The sequence below is a fragment of the Homo sapiens genome, chromosome 10, assembly GCF_000001405.40.
Source record: "Homo sapiens chromosome 10, GRCh38.p14 Primary Assembly".
In the NCBI taxonomy this organism is placed as follows: Eukaryota; Metazoa; Chordata; class Mammalia; order Primates; family Hominidae; genus Homo; species Homo sapiens.
The window spans coordinates 132,736,716-132,751,788 of record NC_000010.11 but is presented as its reverse complement, the minus strand read 5'-3'; the positions used below and the strand labels follow the sequence as shown (position 1 = coordinate 132,751,788).

General features: G+C 58.2%; 1 protein-coding gene across 8 annotated transcripts in view, besides 5 other annotated features; it reads right to left on the bottom strand.

Moving 5' to 3' along the window:
- INPP5A (inositol polyphosphate-5-phosphatase A) overlaps nucleotides 1–15,073 on the bottom strand; it is a 245,694-nt gene that overhangs the window by 31,692 nt on the left and 198,929 nt on the right. For all 8 annotated transcript variants that reach the window (XR_001747104.2, XR_945735.2, XR_007061963.1 and 5 more), the window contains 2 exons: nucleotides 2,177–2,272; nucleotides 1,944–2,018 (listed from right to left, as the gene is read on the bottom strand). Coding sequence is in view for 4 of the 8 variants with exons in the window: in NM_005539.5 (NP_005530.3) it covers nucleotides 1,944–2,018; nucleotides 2,177–2,272 (171 nt within the window). In the remaining 4 variants the exon portion in view is untranslated. The remainder of the gene's footprint in view (nucleotides 1–1,943; nucleotides 2,019–2,176; nucleotides 2,273–15,073) is intronic.
- Nucleotides 1,864–2,570: an enhancer, noted in NCBI's record as "H3K27ac-H3K4me1 hESC enhancer chr10:134562723-134563429 (GRCh37/hg19 assembly coordinates)". NCBI's record gives its function as "activates a minimal SCP1, AML or CMV promoter by ChIP-STARR-seq in primed H9 embryonic stem cells {active_cell/tissue: H9 hESC(primed)}" and the evidence as "EXISTENCE:reporter gene assay evidence [ECO:0000049][PMID:30033119]".
- Nucleotides 2,571–3,279: an enhancer, noted in NCBI's record as "H3K27ac-H3K4me1 hESC enhancer chr10:134562014-134562722 (GRCh37/hg19 assembly coordinates)". NCBI's record gives its function as "activates a minimal SCP1, AML or CMV promoter by ChIP-STARR-seq in naive H9 embryonic stem cells {active_cell/tissue: H9 hESC(naive)}" and the evidence as "EXISTENCE:reporter gene assay evidence [ECO:0000049][PMID:30033119]".
- Nucleotides 5,543–6,078: an enhancer, noted in NCBI's record as "H3K27ac hESC enhancer chr10:134559215-134559750 (GRCh37/hg19 assembly coordinates)". NCBI's record gives its function as "activates a minimal SCP1, AML or CMV promoter by ChIP-STARR-seq in primed H9 embryonic stem cells {active_cell/tissue: H9 hESC(primed)}" and the evidence as "EXISTENCE:reporter gene assay evidence [ECO:0000049][PMID:30033119]".
- Nucleotides 6,995–7,176: a silencer, noted in NCBI's record as "fragment chr10:134558117-134558298 (GRCh37/hg19 assembly coordinates)". NCBI's record gives its function as "represses an EF-1alpha promoter that drives an FKBP-Casp9 reporter gene in an ReSE screen in K562 erythroleukemia cells {active_cell/tissue: K562}" and the evidence as "EXISTENCE:reporter gene assay evidence [ECO:0000049][PMID:32094911]".
- Nucleotides 7,687–8,222: an enhancer, noted in NCBI's record as "H3K27ac-H3K4me1 hESC enhancer chr10:134557071-134557606 (GRCh37/hg19 assembly coordinates)". NCBI's record gives its function as "activates a minimal SCP1, AML or CMV promoter by ChIP-STARR-seq in naive H9 embryonic stem cells {active_cell/tissue: H9 hESC(naive)}" and the evidence as "EXISTENCE:reporter gene assay evidence [ECO:0000049][PMID:30033119]".

Sequence of the window (15,073 nt, the reverse complement as noted above, 5' to 3'; positions counted from 1 at the left end):
CCTCCATCCAGACACCTCCTGGGCACTCGCCTCCACGAAGACACCTCCTGGGCACCTGCCTGCACCCAGACACCTCCTGGGCACCTGCCTCCACCCAGACACCTCCTGGGCACTCGCCTCCACGAAGACACCTCCTGGGCACCTGCCTCCACGAAGACACCTCCTGGGCACCTGCCTCCACCCAGACATCTGTGCTCCCCAGGCTCTCCCTGCTCCCCACTGACGAGGCCGGGATGCGCCACCCGGGAGTGTCCTGTAGCTGGAAGCATCCTGGAGCCCAGAGTCCCGCAGGCAGAGCCAGAGAGGGGCAGCGGGAGCCACAGACAGGCGGCCCCACCAGGCCCTGGAGGCTTGAGAAGGAGAGGGGAGGGTGCCTCCCACACATGGCGCAGGAGGAAACCCAGCCTGCCTGGATGGAGAGAAGCGGAGGAAACCTTAGGCTTGCCCAGGCTGATGGGGCCATGTGGGGACAGGACACCAAGGCCTGACCCGACCCCAGTGGGGGAAAGGACCATGGGCTCCTGCAGCAGGTGACAGGGACGGGCACAGGAGGCCCAGGCACCACGGAGGTGTGGGCGTCACGGGAGCCTCGGGCTCTGGGTTGATGAGGGGCAGGAGGCAGAAGTGACTTCCCAAGAAGACAGGAGCGTGGGGTCTGGGGGCCGTTGGGGAGGCAGCGAATGCCATCCTGGAGTGGAGGTTCTGGGCCTGGGACTCGGGGCTGGCAGCGTCCGCTGGGCTGGGCGTGCCCCTCTGTCTGGCACTGAGAGACCCCAGCTCTTCCTAAGCACTTTGCATGCACTCACCCATAAGCCCCCAAACCCCACGAGGGGAAACTGACACACAGACACCTGGCTGGCCCAGGATGCTAGGATGTGAACGCGGCTGCAGTGTCCTGGGTCTACCCGCCTGTGCTCCCTCACCTCTCCCCCGGCCACTCCCCAGACAGCTTCCTGAGGACAGGGGCCACCTGCCCTGACGCAGCGCCAAGGGAACCATAGCTGGCTCGGGAGCGCCCTAGGAACTGATGCCGAGGTTTCCAGATCTTGGATGCTGGCTCGTTGCACACGGCATCACGTGTGGCTTGGAATCGCCACAGTGGGCGTGTTTACAGAAATCGGCCGAGGCCGCATATGGGGCCCAGCCAGCTGCTGCGTGATTCCTGGTTCTTTGCGCTGATAAACATTTGTAAATACATTAAAAATGGGACAAAAGTAGACCACAATAAAAAATAAAAATTGTAAAGAGAGTGTGTAGGCCGCCCCTCAGCGCTCGCCTACACTGATCCCTTGAAGGGAAGACTCACGATTTCAAAACCAACAGCAGGTCCAGCAGCCGGGGCTGTCTCTCACTGGCAGGGGCCACCTCTCCGTGGACCGACCTGAGCCGCACATTCCCATTGACACGCACTTGTTTACACACGTGCTCATGGACATACAGCGGCACACCCACCCCACAGAGGCAGATACGCACTCACGTGCACATGTGCACACGCATGCACTAGAGCACACACACGTGCTCACACACAGACCCACACACAGCAAGTCTAGCGACAGGAGTGTGAGGAACCTGCTCCCTTCAGTCTCCCACTTCAGAGTGAGGCCCGAGGCCCGGCCGGTTCACTCTGAGACAAGGGGCTTTCCTCCCCACCCCACAGCACCAGCGTCTCCCCTCGCACACGGGGGGATCTCTGAAGCTGATGGGTCGAGTGTCATGCTGCCCGTGGACAGGACAGTGATACGGAGCCTCCACCCAACCTGGCCCGGGGTGCCGGACGCACCCAATATGTGTCCCCAGCAGTCTGACTTGCACTGGCTCAGAACTGAGTCCTGGAGGTGGCAGGGACAAGGCAGGGTGGTCCCAGGTAAGCAGAGGTAATGGGAAGGCCTGGGGGCGTGGATGTCCCAGGACGGGGGAGCTGCCACATTGGACCACAAACTCACCGCGGTGCCGTTGTTGTCTCGGAAAACCTCCTGGTTGAAGTAGTCGAAGAGTTTCTTTTCTAACTGGAGCATAACCTGTGAAGTCAGAGTGGCCCATGAGCACCTGAGCTCCCCCAGCCTTGTGCGTGTCCCCTAGCCCCCACCGAACCGGGCAGGCAGGGCGGCTCTGAAGGAAGCTGCAGAGTCCTGCGCAGGCCCCGTGCGTCACCTGCCCAGTCACAGGCCCCGCTCACCTTCCGGTCGTTGTCCGACTCACGAAATATGAGCTTCACCACTTCATTGGTGTCGGCGGCCCGGACCGTCTGCATGGTGGCTTTTGTGCAGAGCGTCTGCAGAAAGACAGCAACGGAGATAAGTCCCAGGGGGGCCCACCTGCCCATGGCAGCGTCACCCGACACCCCGAGTCAGTGGGATAGGATGGCTGGTTCCAGACAGCAGCTGGTGTCACACCCAGATTTCCGCACCTGGGGTCAGGGGCCACTCCCGCAACAGCCGACCCTCACACGTGCGAAGGGCCTGAGGCTGGCTGCTCCCCAACAAAGCGTGGCTGCAACCGTGAGGACACCCCGGAGCTGCTGCCGCCCACAGAGCTGCTTTGGGGCAAAAGCCAGTGCGACACCAGCAGGCTCGGAAGGCACAGCAGCACTGAGAACAGCAAAGAGGGTGCCTGCGGGGGCACATGGCCGGCCTCCTCCCGCTCGCTCTCTCCCGTCCCTGAACTCCCTCGAGAGCTGTTCGACTGTGACAACGGGCAAGGGCTGCAGGCGGCTTGACCGGGAACCGTCTCAACAGGCTCATCTGGGTGAAGCTGACGTGGGAGGGATGGCTGAGGTCACACGCCTGCTTTGTGGTGTTAACAGGCTCAAACCAGTCCCTGGGGCGCAGGCTGGGGTGGGCAGGGGCCCAGAGGCAGGTGGACAGGACCCAAGAACAACTCAGGCTCCCGCCAGGGTCCCAGCGATCACACCGACCAGGAGGACCAAGGAGAGGGGCTGGGGCAGCAGTGCTGCAGGGTCAGGGTTGCGGCCTCTGGTGCCTGTGGATGCTCACTGGCCTGACCAGCTACGGGAAGGGGCAGTCATCTGGGCAGCAGAGGAGAGGGAGGCTGAGTGAGTGCCGATCTCTCTCCCACACTGCATGGCTGAGCTGCTCCAGGAGGCACGGTCCTGGCTGGCGGACAGCCGGCACAGATCACCGCGAAGGATTACATTGAGGCCTGTTTTGAAAATTCTTCTCGTCTTAACCTCAGTACAATGCAGGGAATGGTCACTGAGGGTCAGTCCCTAAAGGTAAGAGAGCTGGAGACCCCTACCTGGGTGGACTGGCCACGGGGAGCCCCTGGCCCCGACACAGGGGCCTTGTGGGCACTGAGCTCTCCGAGCTTGGCAGAAGTCATGAAAACAAGAATGCCTAGAACCTCACCGAACAAGGGAAGTGTGAGACCCACATCTGAGAGAAATCAAAGCTCTGTGTGGACAGCGAGGGCCCGTGCTCATGGCGGGCAGAGGCACCGGCGTTTCTGCATCGCTGGTGTGGGTGGAGGAGGGCACAGCTGCTGCCTTACACAAAAGGCCACAGACTGTAGATTCCATTTACACAAAATACCCAGACATGGCGAAGTCGGAGAGACAGAGGCAGCAAGGAGACTGCGGGGGCCGGGAGGGAACTGACTGGGGCGGGGGCTGGAGGGATAGTCTAGAACTGGATTATATGGAGAGAGAGTCTAGAATTGGATTATAGCTTGTGTGTAAATTATACCTCAATCCAGCTTGTTTTTAATAAAAAAAATTTTTTTGCAGATAGGGTCTTGATCTGTCATCCAGGCCAGAGCGCAGTGGCGTGATCAAGGCTCGTTTTAACCTTGACCTCCTGGGCTCAAGTGATTCTCCCACCTCAGCCCCTCGAGTAGCTGGGACTGTAGGTAATGCACCACCATGCCCAGCTAATTTTCTAAATTTTTGTAGAGACAGGGTCTCATGATGTTGCCCAGGTTGGCCGTGAACCTCTGGGCTCAAGCGATTGTCCCATTTCAGCCTCCCAAAGTGCTAGGATTACATGTGTGAGCAGCTGCACCTGGCCTATAAATCTGTTTTTTTAAGAAAATAATATATGATTTTTGTTTTATAAAATGATGACTGCACCAAAAGTAACTTTGGCTTTAAAAATTTCTCCCTGAAAGGGCCCTTGGGAGCTGGTGCTGCTGAGGAGCACCTCGGTGCCCCGGGCGCTGGCCGGGGCTCGGAGACAGGGCTCAGGAGGACACCCCTGGGCCGGTGCCCGGCCTTCCTGTGCAGGTTCCGGGCATGCGCTCAGCAGGAACTGAGAGGAACTCTGGAGCCCTTCGGCAGCCCGACCCGCCTCTTGCCAAGATGCAGCGTCTACCTCCTGGTGGCTGGTGTGCAGTGTCTCAGCCTGGGCCAGGAGGCGGCCACCCGCTATCCCCAAAGCACACTCCAGGGCAGGCCATTGACATTCCGAGCACAGACCGGCTGATGGGGTCAAGCCCCCCAAAGTGGCTTTTGGACTCATGTGTCACAAATCAGTCTGGAGCCTTCAAACAGCGTGAGGATTAGAACAAGCACCCAAACAGCCACACAGCGGGGCCACCCTGCCCACCCCTGTGTCCCAAGGAGGTCCGGCCCCATCCAGATGCTAATGGGCTTAAGTGGCTTAAGCTGCTTTCCCTGAATGGGAGAAGGCTTGGCAGGCAGACGGCCATTGTAGCCATCCCAGGACGCGGCTCAGGAAATTCACGGCTCTGTCTCCCAAAAGGCATCTGCGGGAAACTGTTTAAAAACTGCTTTATCTCAGCACTTCAGGCAGGCTCCCAAAGGACAAACATCTGATGGACCCCAGAGCCCAGGAAGGGGCCGGCCACCCCAAACCCCTCCCCAGAGCTGCCTCATTCACAGGCTGTAAAGGAGTGATCAGGCCAGGCTGAAGGGGCCAAAGCTGGCCTGTTCCCTTTGCCTTTCAATCCAGCAAAGTCGTGGCCACTCATGCGGAAAGTGGCCAGGCTGGGCCTTTCCGGCTCGCCTACTTTGGGAAGGGATTCTTCTCTTTTGAAAGGAGAAACAAATACCCTAAATGCTATGTTTAAAAAGCCATCTAAGATGTATTTCATTATTAGCAGCCGCAAGGAGAGGCTCTGGAAAGAGTGGTCCGGTGTGCCGTCTTATCCACACTTAGAATTTAACGGGAACGCTGTGTGCCAGGGTCATCCACACGCGTGTGGATCACGAAGTTCCTGCATTTCTTCTTACTGTTTGGATAACCAAGGAGGCATGCTGCCTGGACAGGGCGTCCACAGGCCCAGGGCACAGGTGTCAGCCCAGGAGAAAGGCTGTTTTCTGTGCAAGGAAATAACGCAGTCATTCGGATGTGCACGGAGCTGCATGGCAGGCAGAGTCGCCCCAATGTGCACCTGTGCAGTTGGTCTCACGTTGGGAGCTGAATCTGTCCCATCACCCCCTCAACTGTCCCGGACACTCTGCCACAAAATCCAAAACTCTACTAAAGGCAAACACATCCTCTCAGACCCTGTCAGCCCAAGTTTTTAAATGCAACCTTCAAGAGCTGGTTTATAAAAACAAAAAGTTGTTCTGTACTCTCTGAAATGAATCCTCGCTGGCTGTAGCCTCCAGGCACCGCACGCACAGCCAGCAGGCGCCTGGGCTCCACTCTCTACCTGGAATCACCAGGTGTCCAGAGCGCCCTGCCTGGGCCAAGTGGACACACAGCCTCGGGGGCCCACTCAGGGCTCCGAAGAAGCCATCTGGGCACACGTGCAGGCAACGCCGAGGCCCTACCCCAGGCTTGGCTTCTAGGTCCTGCCAAGGCGTCTCAGGGTAGGCAGGGTAGGCGAGGCTGGGTGGGCAGCATGTGTTGCTCTTGTGGCTGAGCTGGGAGCTCTCACGCACCCGCCTGTTCTCCAGGACACACTCCTCCTCGGGGGCCACCACACCCGGGCCCACCACACCCGAGGCCACCATGGCCGGGCCCACCATGCCCAGGCCCACCATACCCAGGGCCACCACACCCGAGGCCACCACGCCAGAAGCCCACCATGCCCGGGCCCACCATACCCAAGGCCACCACAGCTGAGGCCCACCACGCCCGAAGCCCACCACGCCTGGGCCCACCACACCCGAGGCCACCATGCCTGAAGCCCACCATGCCCAGGGCCACCACACCCGAGGCCACCACGCCCGAGGCCCACCACACCCAGGGTCTGACACACTGTGGGCCCACCACACCCGAGGCCCGGGCTGGGGCCAGTGCCAGCCGTGACATGCCTCACATGAGGAGGAAGGTCCCAGCAGGGCCCAGCACAGATGCTGCCCGGACTCGGGAAGGGAAAGCTGGGATCCCAGGGGTGCAGCTCAGGCACTGGAAAAGCAATCAGGCTCGAAGGCTGGGAGATGCCCCTCCTGCCACACGGAGAGTCCAGTTCCCTGGTTACTCCCTGGTGGTCAACACACTCCCAGGCAGACAAGGGAATCCGTTAGTCACTGGGGCCACAAACCTCCTTCCTAGGGCCAGAGCCTGGCAACAGGGACAGCCCCAGCCCTCACCTTCCCAAAGGGGAGGTGTCCCCAGGAGCATCGTGGCCTCCAGGAGCTCGCGAGGGGATGGAGGACCCCGTCCTCTGTGGCAGGCAGGCAGAACCACCTGCCCCAAGATCAAAGGCTGACAGGCCATAGCGCCCTCCCACCACGTCACCCTGTGTCCCCAGGCCCTCCCAGAACCGCCCAAGCTCGCCTGGAGCAGAGGCAAATGCACCTCTGTGGCCTCCTGAGCCAGCCACTGGCTCGGGCACACCCTGTCCCCAAGCCTGTGCCACGGGAGAGGCGGGCAGCCCGGGCCTCGCAAGCTGCCAGGGGCTGCACCGCCGGGCCCAGGACAGCACTTTCGGGAGGGACAACGGTGCCGTGGTCTGTGGCGGCATGTCTAACATGGCGGCTGCACAAAGTGAGGCTGAGGTTGAATCCTAACCTTCCTCAGTGGATAGAAATCAGTCAGCCCTGCAGGTCGCCTCAGGCTCAGGGACAGCCCGGCCTCATGAAGCCTGGGAATCCCAACAACTTCTTCCTCTCCTTGAGAGCCGTGTCCTCTGTCTCACCTCAATGCAGGGAGTAAAAGGGCGTTCACAGTTAAATAAAATAAAAACGAACCACAAAGCCAACGTTGCCCCCGAATCTAGAAACACCACAGGCAGCTACTAAGGGGCAGATTCTAGTGCGTTCTTAAGGAATGAAACCATCATCAAGGAAATAAGGCTTTTTTCCTCCAAACTGAGACCCCCTAAAGGAGCCGGTATTGAAACTCCCCCATCTGCCCGACACCTACGGGCATATCCCACCATGAACGGGATGTCCGCTGACACCGATTCCATAGACACAGGGACCGGTGGAGCCGCAGTGTCCCACCCTCCCGGGGGTCCTGGAATTCCTGATCTGGCCATTGCCTCGGTGACAGCGGCCGCTCTGCTGCGGGAGCAGGGCCTCCTGGGAGGCCTGTGGGTGGTGGGGGATGGCTCACATGCTGGCCCCAGGACCAGGCCAGTTTCTACATACTCAGCTGCTGAGTCAATCCGTGGGGGGCTCAACTAACTTTTCTCATCCAACCAGAAGAAAAACCACCTTAAAGCAGAAAGCAACAAAATGAGCCTGCTCCTTGAGGCTACGACTCCCAGCCCCTCAGCAGGCACAGAAGCTCTGTGGGTGCACCTGTTTCCCTGGTGGTGTCTGGCAGCTTGGCCAGAGCCGGCCACTCCTCCACCTCTGTGGGGGCCCGTCCAGCCTGGCCCTTAAGTGTCGCAAGACACAGACCTGCAGGTGCAAATCCGCTGTGGCTGGAGTTCTTTCTCATAACAAAAACTTCCTCTGTTCCAAGGATGGAATTCGGGACCACACGCTCAGCCATGGTCTGTCTGCGCCAGAGTGAATGCACTAAAACCAGGAGGCTCAGATGTGGCCCCAGCCTGCCTGTCTGAGCCCCGGGGCCGGCCTTGGAGGGTGTCCTCAGCACACGTGTGCACCCCAGTCCTCATCACAGGTTTCCTGGGAGGGTAACGTCTGCGCTCCAGTGAGGCTGCCCGTCAGCAAGCTTAGCAAGGGTGTGACCGCTGTGGGCTGGCTGGGGTGGTGTGAACTCAGCCACTGACTTCAGTGATTCAGAAGTTTCCTCCCCACACGTGACGAGGAGTGAGTCCAGTCTTGAAGAAAGTGCTGATTCGGAAGCAAACTGCCTCTGGCACTTTGCAGACATCCAATTGATACTCACGGGACAAATGAATGAATGGAGGGAGGGGCAGAGCCCACAGCCCCAGGGTTAGGGTCCGGCCCTCCAGGGTTCGCGCAAGGGGCTCGCCCTCACTCCCAGGCCTGGTCCCTGCTGGGGCTGAGTGCAGCGCTGGTGGGTGGGCTCGCCCTCACTCCCGGGCCTGGTCCCTGCTGGGGCTGAGTGCAGCGCTGGTGGGTGGGCTCGCCCTCACTCCCGGGCCCGGTCCCTGCTGGGGCTGAGTGCAGCGCTGGTGGGTGGGCTGCCCTCACTCCCGGGCCCGGTCCCTGCTGGGGCTGAGTGCAGCGCTGGTGGGTGGGCTGCCCTCACTCCCGGGCCCGGTCCCTGCTGGGGCTGAGTGCAGCGCTGGTGGGTGGGCTGCCCTCACTCCCGGGCCCAGTCCCTGCTGGGGCTGAGTGCAGCACTGGTGGGTGGCCTTGAAGACACATTTTACCAATTTTTCATGCCCTCCCCTCTCAACGTGACCCTGCTCCTGAGCTTTTATCCTGCTGACAACTTCATGCAGAAAAACACGCAGACCTCTGATAGCATGAAATCAGAAACAATGGCCGGGGACAAAGGGGGCGCGGGGCAGGCGCAGGCCGGCTGGGTCGAATTTCAGCCACAAACAGATGTTCGTAGGAACATCTGAAAAGAAACTCTTCTAAAAGAAATGGTCTTAAAAACAATGCCTTCAGCGGTTAAATAAAGGGCCAAAGGACGCAGGATGCCTGTCAATGATAAATCTCGGCAAAGAGAACCAAACCGGCATCATGAATTTCAATGACAGGTTTCTTGACTACCAAGGGCCCCGGTTCACCAGGGATTCCAGACCCCGGGAAGGAAGCATCGGAGCTGGGTGTCCCTCACGGTCCGAACTCATCGGGAGGCACTTTTTGTTTCACGGGGCTGTAATTTATGGAAAGCTGTGCCCGTCTCCAAGACTTCCCTGAAGAACAGCAATGACTAAAACAGCAAAACCCCGCAGGGGAAGCTCTGGCTGGACACAGCCTGACTGGGCGCCGGACTAGATACAACCGCCTTCCACCTGGGGATGGCAGGCAGGACCTGAGACCAACGGCCAGCGAGTGAAGCTGGGGGTGGCCCTCTCGCTCAGACCTGGGGCTGACTTCCACAGGCGGTGGGCACCCTCTCTGCTCAGGACAAAGCTGGGAGCGCCCCTCTCTGCTCAGGACAAGGCGTGGTGTCGCCTCTGAGAGCTGGTGCCACTGTGCGAAGGCTTCCTCCTGCAGGGCGGGGCTGCGCGTGCTGGCCCAGGTCGGGGCTGCATCAAGGGGAACACAGAGTGTGTTCTTGGGGTGGGACTCTGAGCTCTGTGTTCACACGGGACTCACCTGGATTCATCCATCAGGAACAGAACAGGCTCCTATGAGGAGCACTTCGCCATCTCTCCTCGGCCCTATCTGATGCAGCGTGGCTCATGGCGCATGAGCTCTATCTGGTAGTAAGTTCACAGAGCAACCGCCCCTCAGGGCTGTAGGACCCGGTGCTGATTGGCCTCTGGGAGCAGGCTCCTCTCCAGGAGACTCGTGAGGACACCTCCTGTCCCACACAGCTCTGACCTGGCCTTTGCTCTCCCTCAGGAGTGAGCGCCTTCTCTGTAAGTATGCATCCTTTCTGCAGAGGACGGCCACATCTCGGAAAGAAGCCATTCGTGGGTGCTGCAGCCAGCTGCAGTTTATATCAGCTATGGAGTAAAGCAAGCAGACGCGGACGCCAACGTCCACCTCAGTTTACGTCGGCTATTGAGTAAAGCAAGCGGACGCGGACACTGACGTCCACCTCAGTTTACGTCGGCTATTGAGTAAAGCAAGCGGACACAGATACTGACGTCCACCTCAGTTTACATTGGCTATTGAGAAAAGCAAGCGGACGCGGATACCAACGTCCACCTTCATTCCGGGGTATCCTGTTCTGGGTGTGACGAGGGCCGGGGTTCTGCAGAGTGGACAGCAGCCTCCACCTTCATTCTGGGGCATCCTCTTCTGGGTGTGACGAGGGCCAGGGTTCTGTGGAGTGGACAGCAGCCTCCAGCTTCATTCGGGGGTATCCTCTTCTGGGTGCAATGCAGGCTGGGGTTCCAAGGATGAGGAAGCTCTAACTTTCCTGGCACAGATGCCGAGAAGTTCCCGTGGTGTGAACCTGCAGTGTTTGTCCAGCAGGAACCAGACTGAGACCAACCACTTGTGACCCACAGACACGGAGCTGCCCACTGTTAGGCTGCGGAGATCTGGCCAGCCCATCTCATGCTGTCAACCCAAGACAGGCGGTGTCCCTTTTTTTATTTATCTCTATTTTTAGGTTTTTGAGACAGGGTCCTCCTCTGTTGGCCAGGATGGAGTGCAGTGATGTGATCATGGCTGGCTCACTGCAGCCTCGACCTCCGGGCTCAAGCAATCCTCCCGCCTCAGCCTCCTGAGTATCTGGGACTACAGGCGTGCCCCACAATGCCTGGCTAATTTTACTTTCTTATTTTCTGTAGAGACGGGGACTCCCTATGTTGCCCAGGCTGGTCTTGAATTCCTGGGCTCAATGATCCTCCTGCCTCAGCCTCCCACAGTGCTGGGAAGGCAGGTGTGAGGCACTGTCCCTGGCCTTCCCCTTTCTTTGTAGGTGAACTCTTAGGGTTTCTCTCCTCCTCCTCCAGGAAATCACTGTGACGTCAGAGAAGCCTGACCCTTGGGTGGTGAATGCTGGGGGTGAACGATGTGGACCCTGCGAGTGGCTCTCACTGGGAAAACTGACCAAAGGCACGGCAGGAAGAAACTTGCCAAGTCCCATCCTTCTTTATTATCCTGTAGTTTTTGGTTAAATTTTAACCAGAAACATGTCTAGAAATAAAGAAGGGTTATACACAGAAGTTCCACGTAGCCACTCTCTAGCAGCAGGGATGAAAGGAGGAAGTAGAAAAGGATTTCTAAAATATGGTTCACAACAAAAGGCCCGAGTACTTTACATGGGTTTTCCTTAAAACGAGTTAATAGGAAATCATTACGGCTTCAGTTTTTGAATGACTCTAGAAAACAGAACTGACTCCAGGGGATAAACATTTTCTATGCTACAAATAATTCTTCTAGTCATGGTGAACGTGAATATAAATCTGTGCTCCCGGATGCCGCGCCACTACACCAACGTAATGCTTTCGCTGTGAAAGGAGAATTCACTAAGAGGCTCCCACCGCTCCTGCCCTGAACGTGCCTGAGGGTCCGGACCACTGCTCAGAATCGAGGGGGTAATTCCGTTACAGTTCAGAAAACTATGGAGCCTACTGACAAACCAGCACGCAAAGTTCCAGGTTTACTATTAGGTCACTGCAAACAGGCAGAGATAATTCAAACGCTAAGTTCTGACAAACGCCCCAGTCCTCTGGATATCCACCTGGAGAAGCATTACTGGTCCCGTGGGGTTAGCCATTCCTTGGTAACTCACATTATGGACGCTGGTGCAGATCTTAGACATTGCCGTGGAGTGGGAAAGGAGGACAACCAGCCAATCGCTTCACAGGCGGCCCCAACGTGCAAGTCCTGTCTTTAAAACCTGCTTCGTCCTGGGGAGGCCACGGAAAGTGCCAAGGAAGCCTCACCTCTGGAGTCCTCTGGCATCCCGTTGGGGTGGACACAGGCGGCACCCCCGAACGTCAGTGCTCATCAAACATACACGGGCCAACGGACACACAGGGTGGAGACAAGGTCCTCAGACCCTAGAAGACGCCTCTGCTGAGGCCCCTGGGTCCTGGCAGGGGGCATGGCGAGGGCCTCACAAGCACTACACCCAAGCCTGACGATCTTTGATGGAAACAGCACACGTCATCTCAAATTAACTCCCGGAGGCTCCAGACTCCTTTCCTATGGCACACACGTGTGCAGCTTCTTGGAAGCGAGAGTGCGACTCACCCGGCTCCCAGGGCAAGGAGGGCAGCAAAGGCCAGAGAGCGCTGCGTCCCCCTCTGGGAGTGGCTGAGATCAGGGGGCTGGCACTATAGCCACCACCCCCAAGTATGCTGGTGGCTACTAGGACCTATTAGCACACAGGCCCACAGGGCAACAGCTGTGCCCTCCAGGCTCGACAGGCTGGGGGTGTAGCAGGTGCAGGGTAAGGATGAGTAAACCACCTTCCCGCTGCCTTCTGTCGGCACGCCCCCACCACGGGCCTCACACAGGCTTCTCCAGGGGCTGGGCCTGAGCTTGGCAGAGGGACCCCGGCCAGACTTGGCGTGGGAAATGTGTGGTGAGGCCGGGAGGCCAGGGTGGCAGGCACCAAGGACCCTTCCTCGGGGGCACGTGCCCATGCTCAGCCCCCAGTGAAGCCAGGAACGGCGTTCTGTAAAGTGTGCCATGGTGCCAATTTCCTAGCTTTTTAGGACCAGAGTGGGCACCGAACACAGAGAATGACCATCCCAGATGGAATCTGAGGAGCTGAGAGCCTGGCTTGCTGGGAGGGCTGTGGGGCAGGGTTTGCTGGGAGGGCTGCGGGGCGGGCCCTCAGACACTTCGCCGGCCTCCCTTACTTTGACTTCCCAAGAGAAAGCCCTTCTGGTTAGCTCCATCTTCTCAACGGTCTTCCTGGTGAACCCTAGACCCGAAGGGGGACCCTATCACTTGACAAAAGTGCCCACCGTGAGGCCCTGGAGCACAGACCTCACCGCGAGCCCCAGGGCCAGGCACAAGGCCCTGCATCCCAAGCTTATGGGGTGCAGAAATGCAGCCAGTGAAAGGCACTGTCATGGGGAGATGTTGGCGTCAGCATCCGAGTGGCCTCCCTCCTCTCTGTGTTCATTGTCAACGGCCACCCAGAACAACAACATGCTATAAAGACTCTTTCATGTCCTCTCCCAAGGTTGCTCCCGGACTCCAGCAGCCTGGCAGGCTCGGACACAGCGCGCATGGAATGGGAGTGGCGCCCACTTGCTCTCACGCCAGCTAGAGCTCAACAGACTTTCTGGGAAGAAGGCGGCGGGTCTCTTTCTCAGGCTGTGTCTAGCACCATGCCGGGCACCCTCTGCTGGGCCCAGGGGTGGCTCCACAGGACTGGCCCTGCCCGGCGGCAGAAGCACCTGCTGTGCCTCTGGGTGGCTCCTCCCGGACATCCCCAGCCTTCCACTGGCACGGCTGGACGTGGGGAGGGGGATGTGGCAAAGGGAGGGGGACGCAGGACACAGAGCTCAGCCCTCGTCCCAGGGTCCCCTGTATGCTTGTCAGAGCCACTGATTGCTAGTAAGGGAGCCGGGTGCGATGTGTGAAGGAGGAGGACGAATGAGGCTACACAGTGTCCGGGGTCTCCAGCAACCCCCTGCCTTGGCACGAGAGACCTGCTCTGTGCCCTACCTTTCCCATGGGTTTCTTTTAAACCAAGGGCAGTCAGAGGAATTTTTAAATAAAGTATGAGCTCATAAAAAATATAGAAAAGTGCATTAAAGATTAGTGAACACACTACGGATTATGAATCATTTAGGAGTGAGTCCAAAAAACAGTTCCTCGAACAGAGTCCCAGCATAGACCAGAGAAAATGCCAAGCGTCTTTTGTTTTTTGTCTTCTTTTTCTATAAAATGAGAAGATTCTTGGCATCAATATACCAGTTGAAAATATTGGGTAATATTTGCAAAGTGAACTTCCTAGAAAAAATCCCCTAAATACGAAGCCTAATGTCATCACTATAATTAAGTATAACATTTTATTTTATTTTCAGTTGATGTCATAGGCCCTATATAGAAACAGACCAAATAAAATCTCTTTCTAAACAGAAAAATTAAAAAATAAATTTAATGATTTAAATCAGTGCTTCTGTTGTTGCCATTGCTATTTTACACCAAGACTCTAGAATAACAAGTGAGTGAACCGAGCAGCACGGCTTAGCTCACGTGCCCTCTGCAGGCCCTCACCGCCCTGACCTCCACCCTCAGGGAAGGGCGTCCCTGTGGCTGAGGAGCTGGCAGGGAGGGCAGAGAGGCTGCCACTGGCCTGCCTCACCATCCAGAGCACGCTGGGCACGTGGCGAGGGCAGTGCCCCACTGGGTCTGCACAAGGTCTGTCTACACACTGGGTCCCCAGGTAAGATGAGAACTTGACGATGACTAACATTAGTCCACGGCAGTAGGAGGACAGGGCTGCGCTAACATTAACCCACGGCAGCAGAGGACGGGGCTGCGCTAACATTAACCCACGGCAGCAGGAGGATGGGGCTGTGTGCATCTTTCCATCCATGCTGCTCTGGAGACGGTGCTGAGGCTCTACAGGAGTGTCACTCTGAGCCAGGCTTTCTGGGGTCTGTGGGAGTTAGAAGGGACCGTCCCTGCCACCTGCCCTCTGGACACACACTGTGCCCATGTTGCCACATCGAGTCCGCTCATGGCTGTGGGATGGGCCAAATCCTGAATGGTGCAGGGCTTTGGAGGGCTGCGCCGACTGCAGCCGATGCAGGAACATCGTCAGACTGAGGAGTCAGCCGCCATGCTCTCAGTTTTTAGGAGCTCAGGCCTGCCCATACACAGGGCTAGCGACAGCTGCACAGTCATCCCTGTCTGTCACGCCTGATGGGAGCTGCCAGTGGACACAGGGACCTGGCCTCTCCTGCCCACAGCCTCACGGCGCCCACTGTGCCCACGGCTGAGGGATCAGGGGGCAGAGGGGCTCAACAAGGCAGCCGGTAACCAGATGAGGTCACAACTTCACCTGGAGCCTGGCTGGGGCCGGAGCAGCCAGCGGGTCTCAGGAGTCTGTGGGGCTGTGGGGGGCCATGACCAGGTGCGATGTTACCTACTGGCTGACAGCTGCTCCTCCTCCCAGGACGCAGTGCACACTAGAAGGAAGGACGCCTGGGCGCCAGGAAT